General features: G+C 41.9%; 1 protein-coding gene and 1 long non-coding RNA gene across 2 annotated transcripts, besides 1 other annotated feature; one reads left to right on the plus strand and one right to left on the minus strand.

Annotated features, from left to right (window-relative positions):
• Positions 4,702-25,181, plus strand: BHMT (betaine--homocysteine S-methyltransferase). The gene is made up of 8 exons (NM_001713.3): positions 4,702-4,811; positions 8,660-8,792; positions 12,152-12,270; positions 13,243-13,434; positions 14,111-14,258; positions 18,939-19,121; positions 20,648-20,876; positions 23,826-25,181. The coding sequence occupies exons 1-8, from the start codon at positions 4,779-4,781 to the stop codon at positions 24,007-24,009; spliced, it is 1,221 nt and encodes a 406-aa protein (NP_001704.2). The 5' UTR covers positions 4,702-4,778; the 3' UTR covers positions 24,010-25,181.
• Positions 5,028-5,872: an enhancer, noted in NCBI's record as "H3K4me1 hESC enhancer chr5:78407958-78408802 (GRCh37/hg19 assembly coordinates)". NCBI's record gives its function as "activates a minimal SCP1, AML or CMV promoter by ChIP-STARR-seq in naive H9 embryonic stem cells {active_cell/tissue: H9 hESC(naive)}" and the evidence as "EXISTENCE:reporter gene assay evidence [ECO:0000049][PMID:30033119]".
• On the minus strand, positions 7,700-12,208 carry LOC124901012 (uncharacterized). Its single transcript, XR_007058837.1, has 2 exons — positions 12,130-12,208; positions 7,700-8,191 (listed from the first exon to the last, which is right to left on the minus strand). It is a non-coding gene; the product is annotated as an uncharacterized LOC124901012 (long non-coding RNA).

Here is a 25,181-nt window from a genome sequence, read left to right on the forward strand (position 1 = left end):
GGAAAGTTCTCATCTGGCCTCCATGGGCCTCAGCACTGTCATCAGTAAAATCGGGCTGGTCAAATCCCTACCTCACAGGGCTATTGTAAGGATTACTAATGCTTACAAAGCACTTAGCACAGCTAACTCCACATAGGAAGTGCTCATAAAGTTACAGTTATCTGCTTAAAAAAAAAAGCCACAAAAGGGCATGTGACAGGCTAATCATCCTGTTAGAAAGCATTTGAGGAAAAGCAGAAGAGAGGAAATTTCAGAGCTAGAAAGGGAACTCAGGATGCAATTACCATGCTGAGAGGATAGTTCTGGGAAACTGGAGGTGTCCAGAATGAACAAGAATATCAGCTGGAGGACTCCTCTGTGGAAAGCCAGGAGATGCTGGAGACGCTGGATATGCTGGCTAATCTGCAAGCCCTGAGGGAAGCATTTTCACCTGTGGTGGAAGGAAGCTCTGAGATAACAAGCAAAAACAAAAAGCTCAGCTGTTTCTCTAAGAACTAGGAAATTAAAGGCAAAAACTCAAGCATGGGCAGCAGTTGGAGGCACCAGCAGGAGCCACAGGCACGGTCAGAGCCGGGCTCAGGAAGGGCTCGCTGATGGCAAGGGAAAGGCAATGAAAGCACCCTGGGAAGAGGCTGTTTTGTGCTCTAAGTTTATGCCAAACCAAATGCAAAGACAAATCTGAAAAGTCACCCAGCTTCAACTTCTAATTTTCCATATGAAGAAACCAAGACCCTTTAAAGAGGAGTAATTGTGCAGTGGTTGGCTATGCATGAACGTGTTGGGACAAATGCATGTATGTGGCCACTGCAATAGACAGGGTGCTGGACAGGACAGGTAAACTGAGGAAAACCTGTGCACCTGCAGAAGAGAGTTTTAGAAGGAAAATCCACCTCATCAACCTTTTAGTATCGTCATCCTGGCAAGAAAAAATAACGGGGGTTAGTGGCAGTAGGAAAATGTAAGGCAAATGAAATCTTCGGTTTGGGGGCTACTTGGGGGAACATGTATTCCGTAACCCCAAATATACCTTCTATTTATAGCAGAAGTTGAAAGCCCAAATGCCTTTAAGGTAAGGTAAATATGTGAACCAGAAGAGTGCAGGGCAGCTGGGTGTGGTACAGACCAGCAAATGGGAAGGGTGGAAGCGCCACATAAAGGAATTCACATTCAATTTTTTAAAAACACTGGCCTTGCCAAAGGAAACGCAGAAGCTGGCTCCATTTCCACATCAGCAGTTTGCAAACACTGTTCTGTACAGTGTTAACATGTAAAACCACCATTAAACACAGTGTTAAAACATCATTAAACATCATACTAAAATATAAAACATCATTAAACACAGTGTTAAAGTATCTTCAATGGTTTAAGGCTAAATGAAACATATTTAGTCTAAAAAGGCCTGTGAAAAGTCAGTTTCATTTTAAAAGAGATCCCAGTTGAGTGGGAAATGAAAAGTCCTGACATTTTTCCATCTACATATTGGTAAAAGGAACATTTTAGCACTTATATGAGATGGTTTCTATCTCTTCCTTGAAAAAAAAAAAAAAGGAGATGATATCCTTTACTTCCAGCACCAAGCATAGGGTTTAAAACATTGTATTAATGGTACCTAAATGTTTATTGAGTGAATAAATAGGATTTCAAATAGAACAAAGCACTGGTCAGAGACAGAACAATAACCGAGTATCTTTTGAGGTTGTAAAATGAAGGGGGTGGATCGCCAGCTCTAAGTCTCCTCTTCTTCTTTGGGATTTATTTTTAACCCCCAACATCTTTGTACACAGCCATGGACTTCAGTCTTATGACCTCCCTCATCTGGTTGACTCCAGTAGAGATCAGAGAACATAGGCAGCCTCCCAAGGACAGTTTATTGCAGAACTCACTTCCTGCCAGGTGCAGTGGCTCACGCCTGTAATCCCAGCACTTTGGAAGGCCGAGGCGGATGGATCACCTGGGGTCAGGAGTTCAAGACCAGCCTCTCCAACATGGTGAAACCCCGTCTCTACCAAAAAATACAAGTTAGCCGGGTGTGGTGGCGCCAGCCTGTAATCCCAGCTACTCGGGATGCTGAGGCAGGAGAATCACTTGAACCCAGAAGGCAGAGGTTGCAGTGAGCTGAGATTGCACCACTGCACTCCAGCCTGGGCGACAGAGTGAGACTCTATCTCAAAAAAACAAACAAACAAGCAAAAAACCTCACTTCCTAAGTGGTATCCAAGCAGACTTAGTTCTCTGGGAATGGGGCAAAGAAACTTCAGGGAGCATGCTGATGATCCATCTAACTCCCTAACTTCGTGGTTCTTGAGAACAAAGAGGGGACACCCACCTCACAGAGTTGTGTGGGGTAAATAATGTTGTGTAAGTAAAAGGCTTAGTGCCTTTTACATACATGGTGGATATTATCATCTATTATGGAAATAAGTGAATAATTTTTTAAATGGACCTAATTGGGGGTGGGGGCATGGGATAGTTAGGACAACAAATTGAGAGGCCCAGAAAAAACAAAAATATTTTGACAGCACCTATAAATCATTCTGGAAAAGCTGGGAGTCGATAATTTTTTTAAAAAACGAAAATTCCCTACGTTCGAGTACAAATCCTTTTATATACATCTATACACTTAGGTATGCATAAAATTCCTCTGGAAGAACGGTTAACAGGCAATAGTGGTTACCTCCAGGGAGGGGACTTGATCTGCAACAGCAGCTGGGGAAAGGCTTCTAAATTTTTTTTGCCATGTTTGTTCTTGGAGAAATAAAGATTAAAAAAGTAAAATTTTTGCCATGTGTCTATATTACCTATTAAAAATTCATAATTCACTTCTAAATTTAATGCTACTAGTTTAAAATTTCTCCCAAGTTTTGCCACATTTTGAGGAAACTGAAATTGGGAACGTCGGCTTTCAGCCTTTATTGAGTGTTAGAGTGCTTATACCGCCTCCTAGTGCCAGATACCCACGACTGCGGCTGCTCCCTGCAGCCACCGCGGGGCTCACTCTAGACCTGTTCATCTCACCAGTGCTCACCAGGTGAATACCTTAACTAGTTAACGCATTAACTAACTAAACTGTTACCTATTCGGATACTCCAATGCCTTCAAGGTGTTTTTTTTTTTTAATCTAGGTACTGTGAAGAATGACTTTACCTCATGCCTCATTCTTGCTGACCCCAGATCACAGTTGGGGGTGGAGGAGCCAATGAAATAATAGATCACTTGAATAACAGTATATCCTTTCACCTTTTCATTTCTTTTTCCATTTTAAACTTGACATACTTAGAAGCAAAAGGACATTTTTACTTTCTCAGTTGTATTTCAAACACATGTCACTTTAGCCGTTAAATTTGTATTAATTCATCAGGTGTTGCAGTAACTTTCTTCTCTGCATGTGTTGAAATGGAGGTTGTTTGTCCACATACAGAATTTTTTTACATGCTTTTATTTGGGTAAAATTTTCTGAACTGTGTTTCAGATATTTCATTGTTCTGTAGGCTATTTACTGTCATGCTGTACATTTTTTTTTCTTTTGAGACAGAGTTTCACTCTTTTTGCCCAGGCTGGAGTGCAATGGCACAATCTCGGCTCACTGCAACCTCTGCCCCCAGGGTTCAAGCGATTCTCCTGCCTCAGCCTCCCGAGTAGCTGGGATTACAGGCGCCTGCCACCATGCCCGGCTAATTTTTGTATTTTTAGCAGAGACGGGGGTTTCACCATGTTGGCCAGGCTGGTCTCGAACTCCTGACTTCAGGTGATCCACCCGCCTCACCCTCCCAAAGTGCTAGGATTACTGGCATGAGCCACCGTGCAGGCCATGCTGTACATTTTTTAAAGTAATGTTTTTATTATTTTAAAATCAATGTATTCTCATTATAAAAATATTTTGGAAAATACAGTGAAACATGAAGAATAAAATAAAACAAGCCTTAATTCCGCCATCAATAGGTAACTACTGTTAACATCTCTATTCCCTCCAGTTCTTCTAATGTCTATGTTTTTATATCGTTTTCATGCTGAATTTTGAAGTCTTCAAAGTACATTTCTGCTTCCATTTATAAATGTTAAAAGTCTGTCCTTGTTAAATATTACAAACATATTCTTATTAGAAACTACTGTGTTATTAGAAACTGCAAGGCATGTTTGGGTATAGGGGTAGAAGGTCATTTTGAACATACCCGCCAATTCAGGGTTAGTATTGGACTCCTCTACTAAAGCCGCATTTGTGTCCCGTTATACTGGATGTATATCACACAGGAGATCACACTCCAGGCTGAAGATCTTCCAGGACTTCATCCCCTGATTCCATAATCTTGACGCCTTGGCCTTTGACAAATATCTGAGCATCGAATGGACTTCTCAGAGGCCTCTCTGGCAGCCTAAGTGGGCCATGGTGCATGATCCCAGGTGAGCGAGAGGACGGTCAGGGTCGGGGCAAAAGTGCAAGAGGCAAAAGGGACGCTAGGCAGGTTTGAAATCTGAGCGAGTGGCAACCTCGCTTTTTCTTATCTTACTTTTCGGTGGTTCCACCCATTTGGGTGAACAATCTGGATTACCTCCTTGGCAGGCCAGGTTCCCAACAGGAGGCGGGCCTGATGAAGGGCTGGTGGGCGTGTTCCCGCCCAAGGTCCGTGTTGGCCCGCGCGGTGGCTGGGAGGCCCTCCCCACGCCCAACTGCGGGTATAAAGAGGCAGGCTGCGGACTCGGAGCAGCTCGGGGCTGCGCAGCGGGAAGGCTCGCCTAGTCGGTCCGCATCCGTGTCGACCACCTGTCTGGACACCACGAAGATGCCACCCGTTGGGGGCAAAAAGGCCAAGAAGGTGAGTCTCCAGGGGACCCGAGGGCGCTCTCCTTCCCCTCCCACCTGCTCTGTATCCCAGCCTCTGGGAGCGCAGAGGGGCCCTCGGACCCTGCCTGGTACCCATCATCCTCCTACTCCCTCCCCTCCCTCAGCCTCAGACCAGAATGTGCTTCCAGAACTTCTCCAGCAGGACCCCAAGGCGCCTCTGAGCCTCCCCACTCCTGCCCCACGTTCAGAGCGCGCCCCCAGAGCGCCTCTGTCCCCTCCAGCCCCAGCCCAGCTTGGACCAGAGTGCGCCCCAGATCTATGTGATCCTTGCCTCTCAGACCCAAAGGCACCCTCTGAGCCCTCCCTGACGGCTGGGTGTCCCCAGAACTCCGAGCCTTCCAATATCTTCTGAATCTGGCACCCCAAGACCAGAAAACTCCCTAGAGATACTGCTCCTAGCCCCGCAGGCGCGATATCCCGTCCCCACGGAGCCCCTCCGCATCTGTGTCCGAGGCCGCCGCGAGCGCCCTCTGCACCCGGCGCGCCCAGAACAGGGAGGAGTGCACGGCGCTGGCTCCGACATTTCCCGCCTGGATCTGCACCGCGGGTGTCGGGGCCGCCTCCCCGCCGGGTTCTCGCTGCACCCAAGGCCCAGGCGCTGGTTGGGTGATTGCAGATTTTCACAGGCAATTTGATGTCCGTGATGACAGAAAAATGTCATCCGAAATGTCAGCCTCGAAAACATGGTTTAAGAAAAAATGGGCAGAGTGGCTGTAAGATACTGAGGAAGGGCTGTTGATGAAATTGTAAAACCCAATTCCAGCTCCAGATGAACAAGTCCATCTCTTGGCTATCCCAGTGGCTTGTTGGGAGGGGTATTTTCAGTCCAGACGGTAGGCCTTCCTCTAATTTGGGGAACGGATGGATAGATGGACTGACTGCCGTGGAATGAGACTGGACAGGTGGGAAGAGAGAGAGAAGGATGGAGGGAGGAGAGAATAAACTTGACCTTTTGGTCAAATGCCCAGTCCCAGGCCTGGCACGACAGAGGCCCCCGGAAAATGGTAGGGAGGCAGATGGGGCCAGGCCAACTGTATCCTCTGGGCTGTAAGGACAGTGAGAAAGGTCCAGCTCTCATCCCAGTGCCTGCCCTGCTGGAGAACCAGCTGAGGTGTGCCCAGTTTCTAAAGGGATGGCCTCCCAAATCAAAAAGACCTCTACACAAGGAAGAAGGTCAATTCGGTTACAGATTCTAAATGCAGCATCGTGGATGCATGTTGATGGCATGAGTGGGTGTTGAGATGGCAAAGGACTATGGACTATCACCAGTCAAAGGAGGGTGAGAATTTCGCCAGTCCCTAAATGTACTAAATGAATAGTCCACAGAGACTGGGAAGGATGATTCCTATAGATATAGATATTTTTTGTTTGTCCCCATTCTCATAGCCACGTAAGTCTAACTTATTCCCCAAACTCAAACTCAGAAAATCTAACATTTTAAAGAATTATCTTTGTAGAATTATCTAAGCAACAGATGAATGTAAGATGGAAAAAACAGTTTCCTAGTAACTTGTTTCCGTGCATATGTCAGTGTTAAAACAATATATGGACAATAACATGTCTACACATTTGAGTTTAAAATTAAAATAAATGTTACAAAGTTTGCACATGTTCATTATAAACAATGAGGGAAAGCACAAAGAACAGTGCCTGTTAAATTCTGGTGTATATTCTGCTAGTTTGTTGTTGAGGCAAATATGCACTTCTTAGACAAAAATGGGCTGATATTACATATACTGTTTTGTAATACTTTTTCACAAAATGGTATATTTTTTTCATAGCACATTCCACCTTTTAAAAAGTCTGTTTAGCTTGGGAACAGAAAATCCTGAAGTCTAGATAATTTTAAAATGCAATAGAATGTAAGAGATCATATTTCCAGAGGTAACCACTCAACAAGTGCATGAGCCACATAGTAATTGAATCGCCACTACCCACCCTGCCACCCAGCATCAGATCCTTAGCTATGCTGCACATTAAAATGCTGTGGTACTAAAATTTGAAAACACACACGTTCAATGGGAGCTGCTAACTGCCCAAATGTCATGAATTATTTTATCCAAATAAAAGTTAGTAGCAAGTCATATCTCATTTAAGTGACCCTTGTTATGTTTTTTATGTAACTGTGCTGGCAGTAGTATATATATATATATATTTATATATATGTATACATATATATATTATTGTTGTTGTTAATTAGGTCATAATCAAAGTTGCAGTTTTCAGATGTGACATTTAGATACATTGCAATCATGACAAATATTTGGATTTCAAAATGACGTGTGAGCCATTTATATTTTTGTTGTGCTTTGTTATCTTATGGGCTCCCATAAGATAACAAGGCTTCAACACTATGGCTTGAAAATGTTTTGATCTGAAAGGTATATTAGGGAACACACAGCATAATCCTACCACTTTGCTTCTGTCTGGTGAAATGTCAATTGTTTCCTCTCTCTGAGCACCAGCTGTCCAAATGGCATGGGAAGGGGCAGTGGAGGGGAAGAGAATGAAAATGAGGGAGGTTCTAAGAAGGTGGCAAGGAATTGGGATGCAAAATCCTGTGACTGCCTCTCACAGATTTCTGGAATCTTGTTATTATGTCAGCTTTTGTTTTATCCACTGTTATTGGTAGTAAGTGGAACACACTGGGTAAATACGTCCCAAGTTATTCCTTTACACTATACAGTTTTTTTCAGGGCTGTCCCACCACCCCCAATCCCATTTGAAATCAAATATAGATGTTATTTAAGCATAAAAGAGTCAGGAAGCCCTATGCTCCCCATCTGGAAAACCATGTATAAATTACTCAGGGACTCTGGGTCTTAATTTCTCATTTGTGAAATGAGAGAGAGATCTCAATTGAATTGAGTACTATTTATTTTTAAAGTCTATGATTCTTTGAAATTACAAAAAATCTATTAAACTAGAGAATTACTTTGTAATTCACAAAACCCTTTCAAAATACTTAATTCCAAAGTTATCCATAGAACAACACCAGGGTGATTACTGCACAGTATTGTAAATGGAATAAGTATGGAGATTGGGCTGAAAAATCATTCAACAAATACTTTAGTTGTCTCTTCCTTGTTCTCATCATAGAGTACAGCATGTGCACACTCATAACCTGGACTGTATAGCATAGCTACTGTTGTGGAAACTGAATTTTAACACCAAAGATAGAAGTCTTTGAGTGATTTGGCCACCTTTTCAGTCTTAAAATAAAATGGCTTAATAGCATTGCTGGGCACTGTGGCACGAGCCTGTAGTTTTGGCTGCTGGGGAGGGTGAGACTGGAGGATCTTCTGAGCCCAGGAGTTCAAGTTCCTCTGGGCACATAGTGAGATGCTGTCTCTAAGAAAAAAAAAAAAAAATAGCATTCTATGCCATTTCAACTTCTTTAACAATTTTTTAACCCTCTCTTTAGTTTGTTGATAGAGTAAGAAGACTAGTATTTACCATTTTAAGAATCTGTGCTTAAGTGCAGATTTGAGGCTTTACAACAAAATCTTTTCATTTAATCCCTCAGCAGACAGTTCTTCAAACACACCTCCCACGGTGTTCTTCAAATACTCTTTAACGTGTTAAGAAAGACCCCCCCACCCACAGCACATACAAAGGAATACACAAATGTTTATTTTATGAGCATTCTGGTTGTTTGTCTTATAGATAGCCATAAATGTATATATAAAATATACATTTTTCTCTGAAAATTCTAAAATAACCACACATCTCCAAGAATATGTTAGCAAAAGTAATAAAAATAGAAAATTATCTTAAACACTCAAGTAACTCCTTTTCCTCCCTCATCTGTAATTTTAGGGCATCCTAGAACGTTTAAATGCTGGAGAGATTGTGATTGGAGATGGAGGGTTTGTCTTTGCACTGGAGAAGAGGGGCTACGTAAAGGCAGGACCCTGGACTCCTGAAGCTGCTGTGGAGCACCCAGAAGCAGGTTGGTGCAGAGCTCTATTGTAAGTTCTCATAAAGGAGCCGGGTGTGGAGGCTCATGCCTGTAATCCCAGCAACTCAGGAGGCTGAGGTGGGAAGACCACTTGAGCCCAGGAGTTCAAGACCAGCCTGGGCACATAGGGAGACCTAGTCTCTCAGAAGTTTTTTAAAAATTAGCTGGACATGGTGGTGCACTCCTGTAGTCCCAGCTACTTGGGAGGCTGAGGCAGGAGGATCGCTTGAGCTATTTTATGCAAATGATTTTGTGTATCTGCAGCGCTTTTGTAATTTAGACTGAGTGGTAGCTAGAATTGATGGAAACCCCTGAAGAGTCTTCCTGCAAGCTGGACTTCACCTGCAACATTTTTATATATCTCATGCCTGGGCCTGACTTTTTCATGTTCTGGGCAAAAAGAAAGGAGTGGTTATGCTACAGGCCCACAATCCCCTGTCCAAACCACATTTTGGGGTCAAACATATCTTGGAATCCAGGAATCTGGGGATGTTAGAAAGTTAATACAGTACAAATGTAGCATATTATGTAACACTCCCAATGGGCCCTGAAGCAGCTCCCATTGAAACACATTAATACATTTTTGCATCAAAATACATGACTACCCTTACTAATTGAAACATGTTTATCAATACCTTCATGTTGGTTCAGGTCATATTTTGCCCCCAAATGGTTTTGCTGCAAACTTACCCAACTGAAGAAATACTTCAGAATTTTATTTGACCTTTTAGAGTTTGCTGTGGAATTTTAAAAACTTGCATTTCTCAAGCTAAATCTATAAGGCTAATCTCCAACTATGCCATGTACATATATAATCATGTATCAATGTACATTTAGCTTCTATGATTTTAAAATAAGTAATATAATGAGGAGTTAAGGCCATAAAATGAAGGTAATCAATTAGTATAAGCGACGTCATTGAGTAAAAGGGACTAGCCCTATTGTATTATGGGTTAGAGTAGGAACCTTGTGGTCAGGAAAAAGTAGGTGAAAGGATACTCAAATTACCAGCCTCATTCTCTTGCTAAAGTTTATGCCCAAAGTTATGGTTCTTGCACCCAGTGGAAGCAGCTTTAATTCAGCAATGAATTCAGGTTATCGGGGTCTGGAAGAGTTTGAGGAATCTGCCTTTCTGATAATTGCCCCCAGGTGACTCTAAGATGGATCATACTTAGAGAATCACTGCAGTTTTAGAAGCATGATGAATAATCAAGAGTGAGGAGTTGTCTTCAACTGTTTGGGATCACTGCCCTGTGGAAAAATCTGATAAAATTTTATAGACCTTCTGCACTGTAAAATGTATTTATACATAACAATTTGCACACATTTCCAGGGTTTTTTTCATGAAACCTCTGGAACTCCACCCAAGGACCATGTGAGTGGACTTCGTAGTTATAAACCATTTATTCCTAGTGTCCAGAAACCTAGTATATAGGCCTTTCAGCCCTCTCCAGCCACAGCAGCTCTGGGTTTATCTGATTGATATATGGAACTCCCTATATTTTTCATTGGTTCTGTTATTAATTAAAACAAGTTTGAAGCCCGCTAATTTAGGGATGCTTTTGAGGTCCCACTGAGAACTTTCTATGATTTAAAAAATCATGGAAAATCTTTGGCTACAAGCTTACAAATGCATTTTCTAAAATTTAAAAGCTTTTTTCACTTGTGTATTCATCTCTTTAAAAACAAAAACCAAGGTTTCTATGTTCCAGTTACTCTACTCTACTAGTCGTCTGGGAGACAAGAGATGAGTATAGACTCATCTCCAGCGTTAGCGCTGAGAGCTAAGAACTTCAGTGTCCTAGTAATTTCCTAGCCTGTCATATAGTTGCTCCTGGACCTTTGGATTTCATAAACCTCTGAAATTTCAAAATAATTTTCAGGAGCTGATATATTAATAGCATGCTGATTTCTTACTTTGCCCAGTTAATTCTCCTAACGAAAACAACCAAGTTTTTGTGAAATCCAAGTTTCACAGTCATTTTATAAAAGGAGTTTTTTTCCACTATCTTACAATGGCAGTTTTTGACAAGGCTGAAAACAAAGATGGGTTGGGGAAACTTAAAAAAAAAGATGCCTATGCCTCACTCCAAACCATTTAAGTCAGAATATCTGTGGATTTGACATTCCAATCCGTAATTTTAATTTGCAGGGGATCTAATGGGCAACCACAGCTTAGGACAGCTATTTTAAAACAAATGATAATTTCTTAAACTGAATACTTTTAGCTATATGGGGAAAAAATCCCACCATATTTCCTCCAGCTGATAAAACTTTGCCATTTGGAGGCCTCACGCCTGTAATCCTAGCACTTTGGGAGGCTGAGGTGGGCGGATCACTTGAGGTCAGTAGTTCAAGACCATCCTGGCCAACATGGCGAAACCCTGCCTCTACTAAAAATACAAAAAAATTACCAGGCGTGGTGGCAGGTGCCTGTAGTCCCAGCTACTTGGAAGGCTGAGGCAGGAGAATTGCTTGAACCCAGGAAGCAGAGGTTGCAGTGAGCCAAGATCACGCCACTACACTCCAGCCTGGGTGACAGAATGAGACTCCATCTCAAAAAACAAACAAACAAACAAACAAACAAACAAACTTTGCCATTTGGTATTCATCCATGGAACTGTGCTTGGAAATCTTGCTCCAATTCTTATTTCACCATGCTACCAGAATTATCTTTTGAAAACACTGTATTAATTACATCATCCAGTTGCTTAAAAACTATATATTTCCCTGATTCATCAACTCCAGCCACTCAAGGTACTTGTCATTCCCCCAAATGCCATGCCTGTTCCCGCTTTATTATCTTTGCTCAGGCTATTCTCTCTGGATGGAATTCCCTTCCCCACCTTCTCTGCCTGGCAGTAGCATTGAATTCTTCCAAGTGCAGCTCAAATGATTCCTCATCTTTGGACCTCCTTCGCCCCCTTGCCCCATGTCCTGGGTAGAAATGATCCCTTCTTCCTGCATAGCCCAACCATGCAGTGCTGTAGTCAGTTATTTCTGGACAGACTGTGAAGTTGTCCAAAGACAGAATAATGGATTGTTTATCCTTGTGTCCATGGGTGCCATCCACAAATACAGTCAATGAATGATAAACAAAATAAACAATGAACAAGATGAGCAAATACAGGAATATGAGCACCCCCTGCCCACCCATTCATCTAGTCATAGCAGGTTCACAGGAGTTTCCAAGAGACTTCAGATCTACCTCTCATCTACCCCTAAGATGTGCAAATGTCAAGCAACCAGAAATTCAAGCAGTTGTTTTCCTGCTTGTTTATCTGAGAGCCATTTGAAAATATCGTGTGTTAATAAACAGAAATTATACCTTTCCTCATTCACTCTCCCAGTTCGCCAGCTTCATCGAGAGTTCCTCAGAGCTGGCTCAAACGTCATGCAGACCTTCACCTTCTATGCGAGTGAAGACAAGCTGGAGAACAGGGGCAACTATGTCTTAGAGAAGATATCTGTGAGTAAAACCAGCCGTGGGACTTTTAGAAGGATATTGTCGACCTATTGCATCAACAAAGCTCCCATAGAGAAAAGGGTTCAACCTCTTCAGAGTTTTGTTTTATTTCTAATAATACAAAAATGAGAGGCGTGAATAACAACCTTAGGTTTTATTTAGCTGGAATCCCCAAAATTAACAAAGAGGCATTTAGCGAAGCAGATGAAGAAGAGGTATTTAATGATTAATGATTCTCCCAGTCTCTTGACTAAGTTGCTGAGTAAATTGGGCAACCTTACAAATTCTTTCGTCCTTAATGTTTTTAAATGTAGCATGGCTAGAGGAAAGATCATAGGCATAATAAATCAGTAAACCTGGAATAGTGCCTGACTCAAGCATGTCTACTTTGTGATGTTGAACCAACCCCTTTACCCCATCAAGGCTGAGGTTTCCAAAATTCCACGAGTGTACAGTGCTAGGTTTGGGGAGCTTTTTGTTTGTTGAGCATAACAAACAACTTTTAAAGTCTAAATAATTAGAAAAGACCTTATTAGTTATGCATGTATCTGTTAATTGAGAATATACATACAAAAACATCCTGAATTCTACAGGTATTTAAATTTAATTTTAATCTTCTCAATCATAAAAGCAAATCATCATCACCACCACTACTATTTGTTAGGTACTCTTCTAAGTGCATCTCAGGCACTGGAAGATACCAGATAACATCCTTCAATGTAAAAACTTTTACCATCTCACACATCTTTGGTACAATGTAATGTCATATATATATTTATTGTTACTATCACTATTATTAGTGTTATTGTTATGGCAAACTGTTCAACTTGGTAAAGCTTTGAACTATTCCATAACAGTCATTTTCTGGAATAAGATACTATTGTAAATATACAACTAAGATGTGAATGTTTGAATAATAATTTTATTTCAATTTCACATGAAAATTTAGATGTCTCATATACTCACCCATTTTAGGGGCAGGAAGTCAATGAAGCTGCTTGCGACATCGCCCGACAAGTGGCTGATGAAGGAGATGCTTTGGTAGCAGGAGGAGTGAGTCAGACACCTTCATACCTTAGCTGCAAGAGTGAAACTGAAGTCAAAAAAGTATTTCTGCAACAGTTAGAGGTCTTTATGAAGAAGAACGTGGACTTCTTGATTGCAGAGGTAAAGAAAGATGTGGTGAAAGATAAGACAAATACACCTAGTACATTTTCTCTACCTTTTGCTTTCAAGAGTACTGTGTGGGGTTAGGTGACAATCATAACTAGCAATAGTAATATTTAGTTTTTGAAATCGTTTTCCAATTCAGGGCTACTACTAAATTTGATTTAATTAATCTGATATGGTGTTTTTCAAACTTTTTGACTGCAATTTACAGTAAGAAATCATTCTATTTCATTTTAAAAATGCTAATGGGTCACAATTCAAAGTTTGAAAACAGTAATAATGAAGTTTTTAAGCAATAGAATACATTTTCAAATTGTTTTGGGAAAGGCTGGGCACGGTGGCTCACACCTGTAATCCCAGCACTTTGGGAGGCCAAGGCGTGTGGATCACGAGGTCAGGAGTTTGAGAACAGCCTGGCCAACATGGTGAAACCCCGTCTCTACTAAAAATACAAAAATTAGCCAGGCGTGGTGGCGGGCGCCTGTAATCCCAGCTACTTGGGAGGCGGAGGCAGGAGAATTGCTTGAAACTGGGAGGCAAATGTTGCAGTGAGCCGAAATCGCACCACAGCACTCCAGCCTGGGTGAAAGAGCAAAACTCCGTCTCAAAAAAAAAAAAAAAATTGTTTTGGGAGAAACGAGATTAAAAGTACTCTAACCTTAACTGATTCCAGTATTTTGAACACGTTGAAGAAGCTGTGTGGGCAGTTGAAACCTTGATAGCATCCGGTAAACCTGTGGCAGCAACCATGTGCATTGGCCCAGAAGGAGATTTGCATGGCGTGCCCCCCGGCGAGTGTGCAGTGCGCCTGGTGAAAGCAGGTGATGATAGATTTCAATCAGTTTGTGATTAGTAAGTCTTAAAAGAACACACTAGTGCACATCTGTCTACAAATCAGTGTATACTACTTTCGTTAACATAAAAACCATTAATTTATTTTTGTAAGAATATTGATATTATTGAATCCCAGAGGAAAAGTTTTAAAAATGGCTGGGCGCGGTGGCTGACGCCTGTAATCCCAGCACTTTGGGAGGCAGAGACGGGTGGATCATGAGGTCAGGAGATCGAGACCATCCCGGCTAACACAGTGAAACCCCACCTCTACTAAAAAATACAAAAAATTAGCCGGGACTGGTGGCGGGCGCCTGTAGTCCCAGCTACTCGGGAGGCTGAGGCAGGAGAATGGCGTGAACCCGGGAGGCGGAGCTTGCAGTGAGCCGAGATTGCGCCACTGCACTCCAGCCTGGGCGAAAGAGCGAGATTCCGTCTCAATAAAAAAAAAAAAAAAAAGAATATCCTCAGTCTATAGTTTCCAATCATCGAGAATGTTAATAGGGTTCTGTGGTTAAATACATTTAGAAAATGCTGTGTTAAACCAAATTAAGCAGATATCTTGTTTTGTTTTGTTTTTTGAGACGGAGTCTTGTCACACTGCAGCCCAGGCTGGAGTGCAATGGCGCAATCTTGGCTCACTGCAATCTCCGCCTCCCAGGTTCAAGCGATTCTCCTGCCTCAGCCTCCCGAGTAGCTGGGATTATGGGCACCCGCCACCATGCCTGGCTAATTTTTTGTATTTTTTAGTAGAGACGGGGTTTCACTATTTGGTCAGGCTGGTCTCGAACTCCTGACCTCGTGATCCACCCGCCTCGGCCTCCCAAAGTGCTGGGATTACAGGTGTGAGCCATTGCGCCCGGCCTTAGGCAGATATCTTTACTGTGGAACTTATCAATATCTTTGATATGTTCACATATATTCCTAGTCTCCAAGAAGGTGATGTGGTGAACAGCTACTTCCTAACTTAATTGATCATGGAACATTATTTTCATGGACCAAACCTTGGAAAACCCTGTGCTAAATTATAAAATTGTTGATGTCAGGAACAATGTCCTTTATTTCTACTTCTCTATAATCTCTTGCAAGGAGGCTTACACCTAAAAGACATCCAATAAATAGCCAACATATTATTAATTTATTAATATAATGAAGTTAATTAAGCAAGGAAAGAGAAACTCTGGCAGCACAACATCCAAAAAAAAAGGGTAGCCAAAAATCTTCAACAGCTTATAGCTTAGTTGATATCAATGATCTTCCCACTTGGTTCCAGACTTGGATATTGTGGATATATATACTTGTGAGTATATGTATACACAATCTGATGAATATATATATATAAAATATATAAGTATATGTATATATACACACACATATTCTGGCTACATAGGTATACACACACATACAAGTATATTTACTTCTGGATACTTGCATATATCCACAATATTCAAATCTGGAGCCCAATGGGAAGGTCAGGGTAAGAGAGAGGAATATGGGAGAGACCTGGATATAGATGGTATTGAAAGCCTAGGACAGAAAAGGAAGTTTAAATGGGGAAGAAAAGATGAATCAGTGCAATCTTGGAACACTCCAGTTGAGAGTTTTAGCCTTGAGGAGGAGACAGCACAGAACATGAAGACATTTTTAAAAAGAATATTAAACAGGACATTTATTAAAATAATAAACCAGCAAAGTAGAAACAATACTTGGACAGTGTGTGGGAAGTTGCAGAAGCCAAGAGAAGGGGAGTGTCAATGAAGGAGGAAGTTGTCCACTAGGTTGCATACTGCTGAGAGCTTCAGTGAGATGAGAACAGAGAAGCAGCTGCTGGATTTGGCAAGGTTGAGGTCATTGGTAACCTTAACAAAAGCTGTTTCAGAGGAATGAAGGGGAGTGAGGCCTACTTGGAACAAGAATGAAGAGCAAACTGCAGACCCAGCCCAGCAACAGCAAAGACACCTGCCACTCACCACTGGATTCCATGGGTTGTGGCACCAGCTCTGCTGCTCCTGGGAGCTGAACACTGGGGTCACTCATCACTCATGCTGCATCCAGAAATAATCTCTCTTGCTCTTGTTCTTGGTATCTCTATATACAAAATACAAAATCCTAGGCCATGAGTCCATCCAAAAAAGTCCTTTTTGGTTGGTTGGTTGGTTGGTTGGTTGGTTCGTTGGTTGGTTGGTTGGTTTTGAGACAGAGTTTTTGCTCTGTTGCCCAGGCTGGAGTGCAATGGCACCGTCTTGGCTCACTGTAACCTCCACCTCCTGGGTTCAAGTGATTCTCCTGCCTCAGCCTCCCAAGTAGCTGGGATTACAGATGTGTACTACCACGTCCAGCTAATTTTTGTACTTTTAGTAGAGACGGGGTTTCACCATGTTGGCCAGGCTGGTCTTGAACTCCTGACCTCAGGTAATCCACCCGCCTCAGCCTCGCAAAGTGCTAAGATTACAGGCATGAGCTACTGCACCTGGCCCAAAAAAGTCCTTTTTGGGGGTGGAAACAATCTCAGAGTTCATCAACAGGTGAATGGATAAAACAAAATGTGGTGTATCCATACAATGAAATATCATGCAGCTATAAGAAGAAATGAAGTTCTCAAACATGCCATAACAGGGATGAACCTTGGAAACATCATGCTAAGTAAACTAAGCCACTCACAAAATGACAAATATCATATGATTTTGTTTATATGACATATCTAGAATGGGCAAATCCACAGAGACAGAAAGTAGATTTGAGGTTACCAGGGGCTAGCAGAAGGGGAAAATAAGGAGTTAGTTCTTAATGGGTAGAGTTTCTCTTTGGGGTATCGAAAAAATGTGGAAATAGTGATAATGGTTGCACAACATTGTGAATATAATTAATGCCACTTAAAAATGGCTAAAATGCGCCAGATGCAGGGGCTCATGCCTACAATCCCAGCACTTTGGGAGGCAAAGGTGTGAGGATCGCTTGAGGCCAGAAGTTCAAGACCAGCCTGGGCAACATAATGAGGCCTTGTCTCTACAAAAAAATAAAATTTTTTAAAAAGGTTAAAATGCCCAGTTTTACATGATATATATTTTACCACCATTTTTAAAATGCAAAAAAAAAAAAAGGAAAGAAAAGTCCTATTTGGGAATTCCTCCCACTTTGAGAGGAGAGAGTAAAAGAATTATAATGTCATAATGCCTTCTCAAATCTTCTGGAGGAGGAAACTTCCAAAATCATGTCTAGTGATTGCCATGGTAAATCATCTGTGGTCCAAATATAGTTAAGAACATAATGACTATAAAGAAAGTTTTTGAAGAAAATGAAATATCTAAAACATAGTTTGTTCTCACTAAATCAAACTTCACAGCACCAAATTTTACAAGAATACTGTAGGAAGACAATCCCATATAGTTGTGAGTCTGGGGAGGCTGAAATGTAAATTAAAAGCTTGTCAAAATGATTGATAGGCTAGTAACCACATTGAGTAGCTGAAGTCAAAGGATTTTTGAGATTCTTTTTCCCCAAACTATTAATCCTAGACACAAAATTCCTTCTAGCAAACACGTGTCTAAAAAACTTTTTTCTAAATTACATTCTGCTGCTGTGCCCAAGAAGGCTAATGAACTTATTAAGTTGGCCTGGTGAAAAGGAATATTTATTTACACCTCAAGCAAGCAGTATGGTAAACACAGGTGTAGTCTAGCAGCTGGGAGTGTTGAAAAATTATTGTGCTTGCAACATAATGTCCAACGTTGAAAGTTTGACTACTAAAATTTGAAGTTTAAAAAAATTCTAATAATTTTTTTTTGAAAAAAGATGGATAGGGCTGGGCATGGTGGCTCACACCTGTAATCCCAGCACTTTGTGAGGCTGAGCTGGGCGGATCACAAGGTCAGGAGATGGAGACCATCCTGGCCAACATGGTGAAACCCTGTCTCCACTAAAAACACAAAAATTAGCCTGTCGTGGTGGTGTGCGCCTATAGTCCCAGCTACTCAGGAGGCTGAGGCAGGAGAATCACTTGAACCCAGGAAGCAGAGGCTGTGGTGAGCTGAGATCGTGCCACTGCACTCCAGCCTGGGCAACAGAGCAAGAGTCTGTGTCTCAGAAAAAAAAAAAAAAAAAAAGAGATGGACAGCCAAATGTGCACAAATTACACTTCAATTATACCAGACTCTTCAAAGCACTTTCACAGAAAGCACTTCCTGCCTGCTAGTAATCATTCTCACTCAAAGGTAAGAGGTTTGTGGGGAATGAGGACCTAATGCTATGCTTCCAGTTCATCATTCCAATTAAAAGCTTCCTGCTGGGTGTGGTGGCTCATGCCTGTAATCCCAGCAGTCTGGGAAGCTGTTGGATCACTTGAGCTCAGGAGTTCGAGACCAGCCTGGGCAACATGGCGAAACCCCATATCTATAAAAAAACAAACAAACAAACAAAAATTAGCCAGACGTGGTGGCACACACTTGTAGTCACAGCAACTTGGGAGGCTGAGGTGGGAGGATTGCTTGATCACTTGAGGTGGAGACTGCAGTGAGCTGAGATCACGCTACTGCACTCCAGCCTGGGCAACAGAGTGAGATTGTGTCTCAAAAAATGAAAAAAGAACTTCCTGATTCCTGATGAAGAGAGGAGAGCTGGCCCTGCTGGTTTCTGGTGCATCCCTAAGTCTATCATGTTCTTCCCACTCACAGGAGCATCCATCATTGGTGTGAACTGCCACTTTGACCCCACCATTAGTTTAAAAACAGTGAAGCTCATGAAGGAGGGCTTGGAGGCTGCCCGACTGAAAGCTCACCTGATGAGCCAGCCCTTGGCTTACCACACTCCTGACTGCAACAAGCAGGGATTCATCGATCTCCCAGAATTCCCATTTGGTAAGACCAACATTTGATGAATCATCTCAATATCTTCATTTGATATGCATATAAACTCAAGTAAATCTATACCCAGAGATCTTTTGTCATAGTGAAGAGATGGCTTGGTGTCTCCTCATGTCTTGTCCCTGGTTTCTGTCCCTGCAGCCAAAAGCCCCTTCGTATTAGAGAAGAGCAGAAGGAAAGGATGGTCCCAGCTAGCAAAAAAGATCTCTGAATTTAAATATAAAATCTAAGGTGAATCAGCATCTAAACAGACAACTAGTGAGTCATACTTTGGGGTTGGTGAGGATGCCCTTCATGGGAGAATCAACAGATATTTAGTTCTAGTTCCAGCTCTGTTGCTAAGTCCTGTCACCTTAGGAAAATCTTTAAATTCCTCTAGCTCTCAAATTCTTTATTGGGAAAATAAGATCAGACCAGTTATCTCTAAGGTCCTTTTCTCCAATTTTTAATATGGCTCAGCTACTCCAGAGTTTTGGGATTGCAGGCAAGATACCATCATCGAGTGACTGTATAACAAGTTTTAATGAAGAGACCAAGCAGATGAAGTGAGGGGATACTTGCAGTCCAGGCAGAAGGAAAAACTTTCCCAGCATGATTGGGAAGAGCGGGTGGGTTGATCTCACAAATTAAGCCAGAGTGGTCAGCAGGGGCAGAGCATGCCCAGCCTCCTATTTCCTTCTAAGGTCTTTACACCCTATCCTATATTTTATAGGGACCCTTAGACAAGTAAGATATTATAAAATACAATCACTCTGGAGGAGCCACAGAGGAAGAAAGGCAAGGCATTTGTGTTACTTACTGCTGTATAACACATTAAATTAATGCAAAATGTAGTGGCTTGAAAAACCACTTCTTATCTCACAGTTTCTCCAGGTCAAGAATTCAGGGATAGCATAACTAGGTGGTTTTGGTTCAGGGTCTCCTAAGAGGTTGGAGTCCGGATATTTGCCAGGGCTATTATCACCTGAAGGCCTGTTGGGAGCTGGGGGATCTACTTCCTAGCTCACTTAATTGGTTTTTGGGAGTTAGTGTCAGTTTCTTGCTGTCTGTTGACTGGGGGCCTCAGTTCCTCAGCTCATGGGCCTTTTCACTGTGATGCTAGAAAACATGCTTGAAACATGTGATGCTTGCAACATGGCAGCTGGCTTTCCCCAGGGTGAGTGCTCCAAGAAAGTGCAAGGCAGAAACCATGATGTTTTGTATAGCCTAGACTCTGAAGTCACATGCCAGTTCTGCCATATTCTATGGATCTCACAGACCAGCCCTGTTATAATGCAAGAGGGGACTGCACAAGAAGAAAAACATCAAAGGGCAGGGGTCATTTGGAACCTCCTGAAGGCTGGATACCACAGCATGTAAAAGTGAACATACAACACAAAGTAGCAAAGTTTTTTCTTAAATGTAAAAATTGAATATTGAAAACAATTCATTTATTGAAAATTACATACTTGTAGCTACTTATCTTGAATTTTTATGAAAAGAATGTATAATGCCTAATGGCATAATGCCACTTATTACAGGACTGGAACCCAGAGTTGCCACCAGATGGGATATTCAAAAATACGCCAGAGAGGCCTACAACCTGGGGGTCAGGTACATTGGCGGGTGCTGTGGATTTGAGCCCTACCACATCAGGGCAATTGCAGAGGAGCTGGCCCCAGAAAGGGGCTTTTTGCCACCAGCTTCAGAAAAACATGGCAGCTGGGGAAGTGGTTTGGACATGCACACCAAACCCTGGGTTAGAGCAAGGTAAGCATCTTTTTACTAACCCAAACTAATTTAGATTATGAATATGTTCAAGTGAGGCCATTTAGAAGACTGCAGCAAATTTGTTGTGTGATGATGAAGAATCAGTCATCCCCAAATTCTCTCCCAGAGATGTTTACAAAGCATCCTTATTAGGTGATTTCTGGAGATTGTTTTAAGAATATAGAACGTATTTGACCTGATTTTGGATTTTGAAAAGAAAAAGAAAAATTTTTTTAAAAATTGTTTTTAAATATAGGCTGGGTGCGGTGGCTCGCGCCTGTAATCCCAGCACTTTGGGAGGCCAAGGTAGGAGGATTACTTGATCTCGGGAGTTTGAGACCAGCATGGGCAAGATGGCAAAACTCCATCTCTACTAAAAATACAAAAAAAAAAAAAATTAGCTGGGCATAGTGGTGCATGCCTGTAATCACAGCTACTTGGGAGGCTGAGGCACAAGAATTGCTTGAACCCGGGAGGCAGAGGTTGCAGTGAGCCAAGATCACGCCACTGCACTCCAGTTTGGGCAACAGAGTGAGACCCTGTTTTAAAAAAAAAAAAAAAAAAGAATATAGCATGTAAATAAACGTAAGTGGCAATGAAATGTGATTTTGTGCTCTAGTAAAGCACCATTAGTGTGGTGCACAATACTCTTAAATTGCATTGATTTTTAAGAGTTAAGGACCACTTAAGTATAGCTAATACTGATTGTTCTATATCAAGCATGATTTTCAGAGCTGGGAATACGGTGGCAAATAAGACAGGCAAGGTCTTTGCCCTCAGAGTTTACATTCCAATGGGGAAGATGAATAATACACTAGTAAAAAAAAATGTATGTCAGGCACTGGGAAGGGCAGTAGGAATATAGAAATGAGAAGCCGTGGATTAGAGACTCACAGTCTACTGGGTAAAAGAATACGAAAGCCAATGTATTATACTGTGGTAGCTGCTTTAGTAGATGTATGGATAGAAAAGTAACAAGAGAAGAGAATGACTATCTCTGCCTAACAGAAAGATATTTTAAAAGAAGGGTTTTGGGGCTGGATTTTGAAGGCTCAATAGGCTCCTACCATATAGAGAACTAGGAAGCGGGTGGAGGACAGGTGCTCCAAGGAGAGGTAGCAGTTCCACTCTGTTCAGCAGCTATTAACAGAGCACAGCTATCTGTCAGATGCTGTTGTGGATGCTGAGGTAGCAAGCTAAACAAGGAGCTAGCAATCTAGCAGGCAGAACGATAAGCAGGTAATGTCCAATGAGTATAGTAAGTCCAAGGATGAAGATGTGCATAGGTGTGCAGGGTCTGAGCTAATGTCCCAAGGGGCAAAAGGCAGAGAGAGGGTGAATGAAGGATTTCTAAGAAAGCTGATGCCTGAGTTGAATTCTGCGAGAGGAATTACATTGCTAGAGGAACAGCCCTCAGGAAAGCACTGAGAAGTGGAAAGAGAATGACACATTGAGAAACTGGAAGTTTGAGAATAGCAGAGACAGAATTTGGTGAAAGACACCTCCCAGGAGGAGGAGGCAGCCTCTTTATTCATGCTCAGGAGTTATGTAGGACCCCATCCCAAAGGCAAAGAGGAGCCTGGGTGGTCTCAGGTAGCCCAGGGCAAGGTTAGATTAGCAAGTTAGCAAGTTGTAATCGCCATGTGAGGAAGACTTGCTAGGAGGGACAGCAGACAGGTTGAGGCCTGAGCTAGAAGGAAGCAAAGGAAATAGAAGGGCAGAAGTGGAGCCTGCAGAGTGAGAGGTGCAGAAGTTATCCAGGGTTTGGGGAAGAATAACCAAGGTGAACTCAGCTGGCTCATGAGGATGTGAGGAAGGACAGGTAGTGTAAGTGGAATAGACAGTACTCCTATCCCAAATTTTCCCTGTACATATATTAAAAGAAGAAATTCAAGGTGGGCATAGTGACTCACACCTGTAATCCCAGCACTTTGGGAAGCTGAGGCAGGCGAATCACTTGAGCTCAGGAGTTTGAGACCAGCCTGGGCAACATGGCGAAACCCTGTCTCTACAAAAAGTACAAAAATTAGCTGTACTAATTTTGTACCTATGTGGTGGCATAGGCCTATAATCCCAGCTACTCAAAAGGCTGAGGCAGAAGAATCACTTGAACCTGGGAGGCGGGGGTTGCAGTGAGCCAAGATCGTACCACTGCACTCCAGACAGGGTGACAGAGTAAGACCCTGTCTCAAAAAAGAAATTCAAAGTAACTTTAGACTTACAGATTGAGGGGAGGGGGTGGAATTTTTAGTCCAGATTAATGTGTGTTTTAATGGATGCACTCTGAGAATCCAAAGATGGCTCCCTCAATGTGCACTCATAACAGAACAAGAAATCACATCAGTTTTTACATCAAAGGGCACCTTCTATGACAAAAACCATTGTTAATGAGGCAGATGCCTCTGGAGGAAACACTGTAAAAAGCCTTCCAGCAGAATGGACCGCTTCCCAGTCCCTCAACTGCTTCTGATGTTTCTTCTCATCTACAAAAGTAAAATACAGTGTACAGTAACCTTTTAATCAAAACACAGCATCATGGATGGAGACAAAGCCTGTTGCTGATGGTTGTTGCTGTTCAGCAGCTGACACGGGTATTCTAGTGATGCTACTGTGCTGCTTAGTTACCCTGAGCACATGATTTTTTCACTGTGTTAATGGTATGTCATACTTTTCCTGTTAAGTATTAATGTGTGGATAAGTGTAAGCAAATGATTGTTTATCAGTAGCATATAAATTCGTAGTCAGGAATCATGGTGAAGCCAAACAACCACAGACTGCCCACACAGGTGGCTGAGATTGACACCTTTGCTTTTTAATGTCTGATAGGCAACTTTGTGTGCTGCGTGAAATTATTTAAAATATTATATAATTTTTAAATGGTTCCATGATATAAAGACCAAAGCTAGGGGAGGAGTCTGTTGTCTGGTGTCATGTGTTTTGTTCACACAGGGCCAGGAAGGAATACTGGGAGAATCTTCGGATAGCCTCAGGCCGGCCATACAACCCTTCAATGTCAAAGCCAGATGGCTGGGGAGTGACCAAAGGAACAGCCGAGCTGATGCAGCAGAAAGAAGCCACAACTGAGCAGCAGCTGAAAGAGCTCTTTGAAAAACAAAAATTCAAATCACAGTAGCCTCGATAGAAGCTATTTTTGATGAATTTCTAGGTGTTTGGGTCACAGTTCCTACAAATACGGAAAAGGGGGTTAAAAAGCAGTGCTTTCATGAATGCCATCCTACACATATTATTGCTATTACCTGAACAAAATAGAATTACAAATAGCACTTGATAATTTTAAAGTATGTTTTAGAAATTTTCTTAGGAGCAAAATAAGTACAAAGTAAATCTTGAACAGGTTCACTAAGCACCCACCCTGTGAAAAGTATTATGGAAATCACTGCTGCACAGGAAAAGTAATTCAGATGTTAATGCCACTTGAAGAAGTTGGTAGGCTAGCAAAGAGGATGAGACATGAACTGTCATAAAGGACTCAGCAACCAGCCAGGGACAGATAAAGCGCTATGGAAAGGGGCTTCCAAGTTCTTTTGAACATGACCCTTAGTAACAAACACAATTTATATAATGACCCAGCAAAACACATCACATCTTACTGTCGAAATTAAATGTGTGATCCATCCTAGTATTTTCTGTTCCATTCCTTTTCATTCTATTTCATTTATAAAACATGCTAGTTGAGACTTTTCAAATGGATTTTTATGACCCACTACTGGGTTTGGATCCACAGTTTGAAAAATATTGCTACAAGACACTTAAGGAGACCATCCTGTTTAAGTTTATTCTTATAAGTAGGTCAGTCATATGAGACCTGATCAATAAATATCCAATACCCAGAGTCCTGCTCTCAGAGTTCTTCTGTTTCGTGACCCACTTTTCTACCAGTAAAAGACATAGACCAATGGGGAGGAGGGGAGGAGAGATGGATATTTCAGCCCTCTCCATCCTAGTCAACACTGGATCCACCTAGTGCCTCTGGGCCATAAGGCTGAGCAGAGTGAGCTTGTATTAGTTGGTAGCTTTTAAAAAATATAATAAGAAAAAAGTAGAGATTCTCCAAACTCTAGCCTGGTTTCCTAGATTGAGAACTATGATATTTTTCTCTGATAATTTAATATCTACTCTCCTACAAAAGCTCAAGCCTGAAGATACAAGACTATTAGAAGAAACATGACTACCCTCAGTGTATTAGAAAAGAGGTCATGCAGCTTTCTAAACATTATTGAATTGTTTGAGCTGTTTTGAAATTGTAATTCTTTTCAGCTATTAAAAAGAAGAGCAATGAGACTA

The sequence above is a fragment of the Homo sapiens genome, chromosome 5 (genome assembly GCF_000001405.40).
Source record: "Homo sapiens chromosome 5, GRCh38.p14 Primary Assembly".
Taxonomy (NCBI): domain Eukaryota; kingdom Metazoa; phylum Chordata; class Mammalia; order Primates; family Hominidae; genus Homo; species Homo sapiens.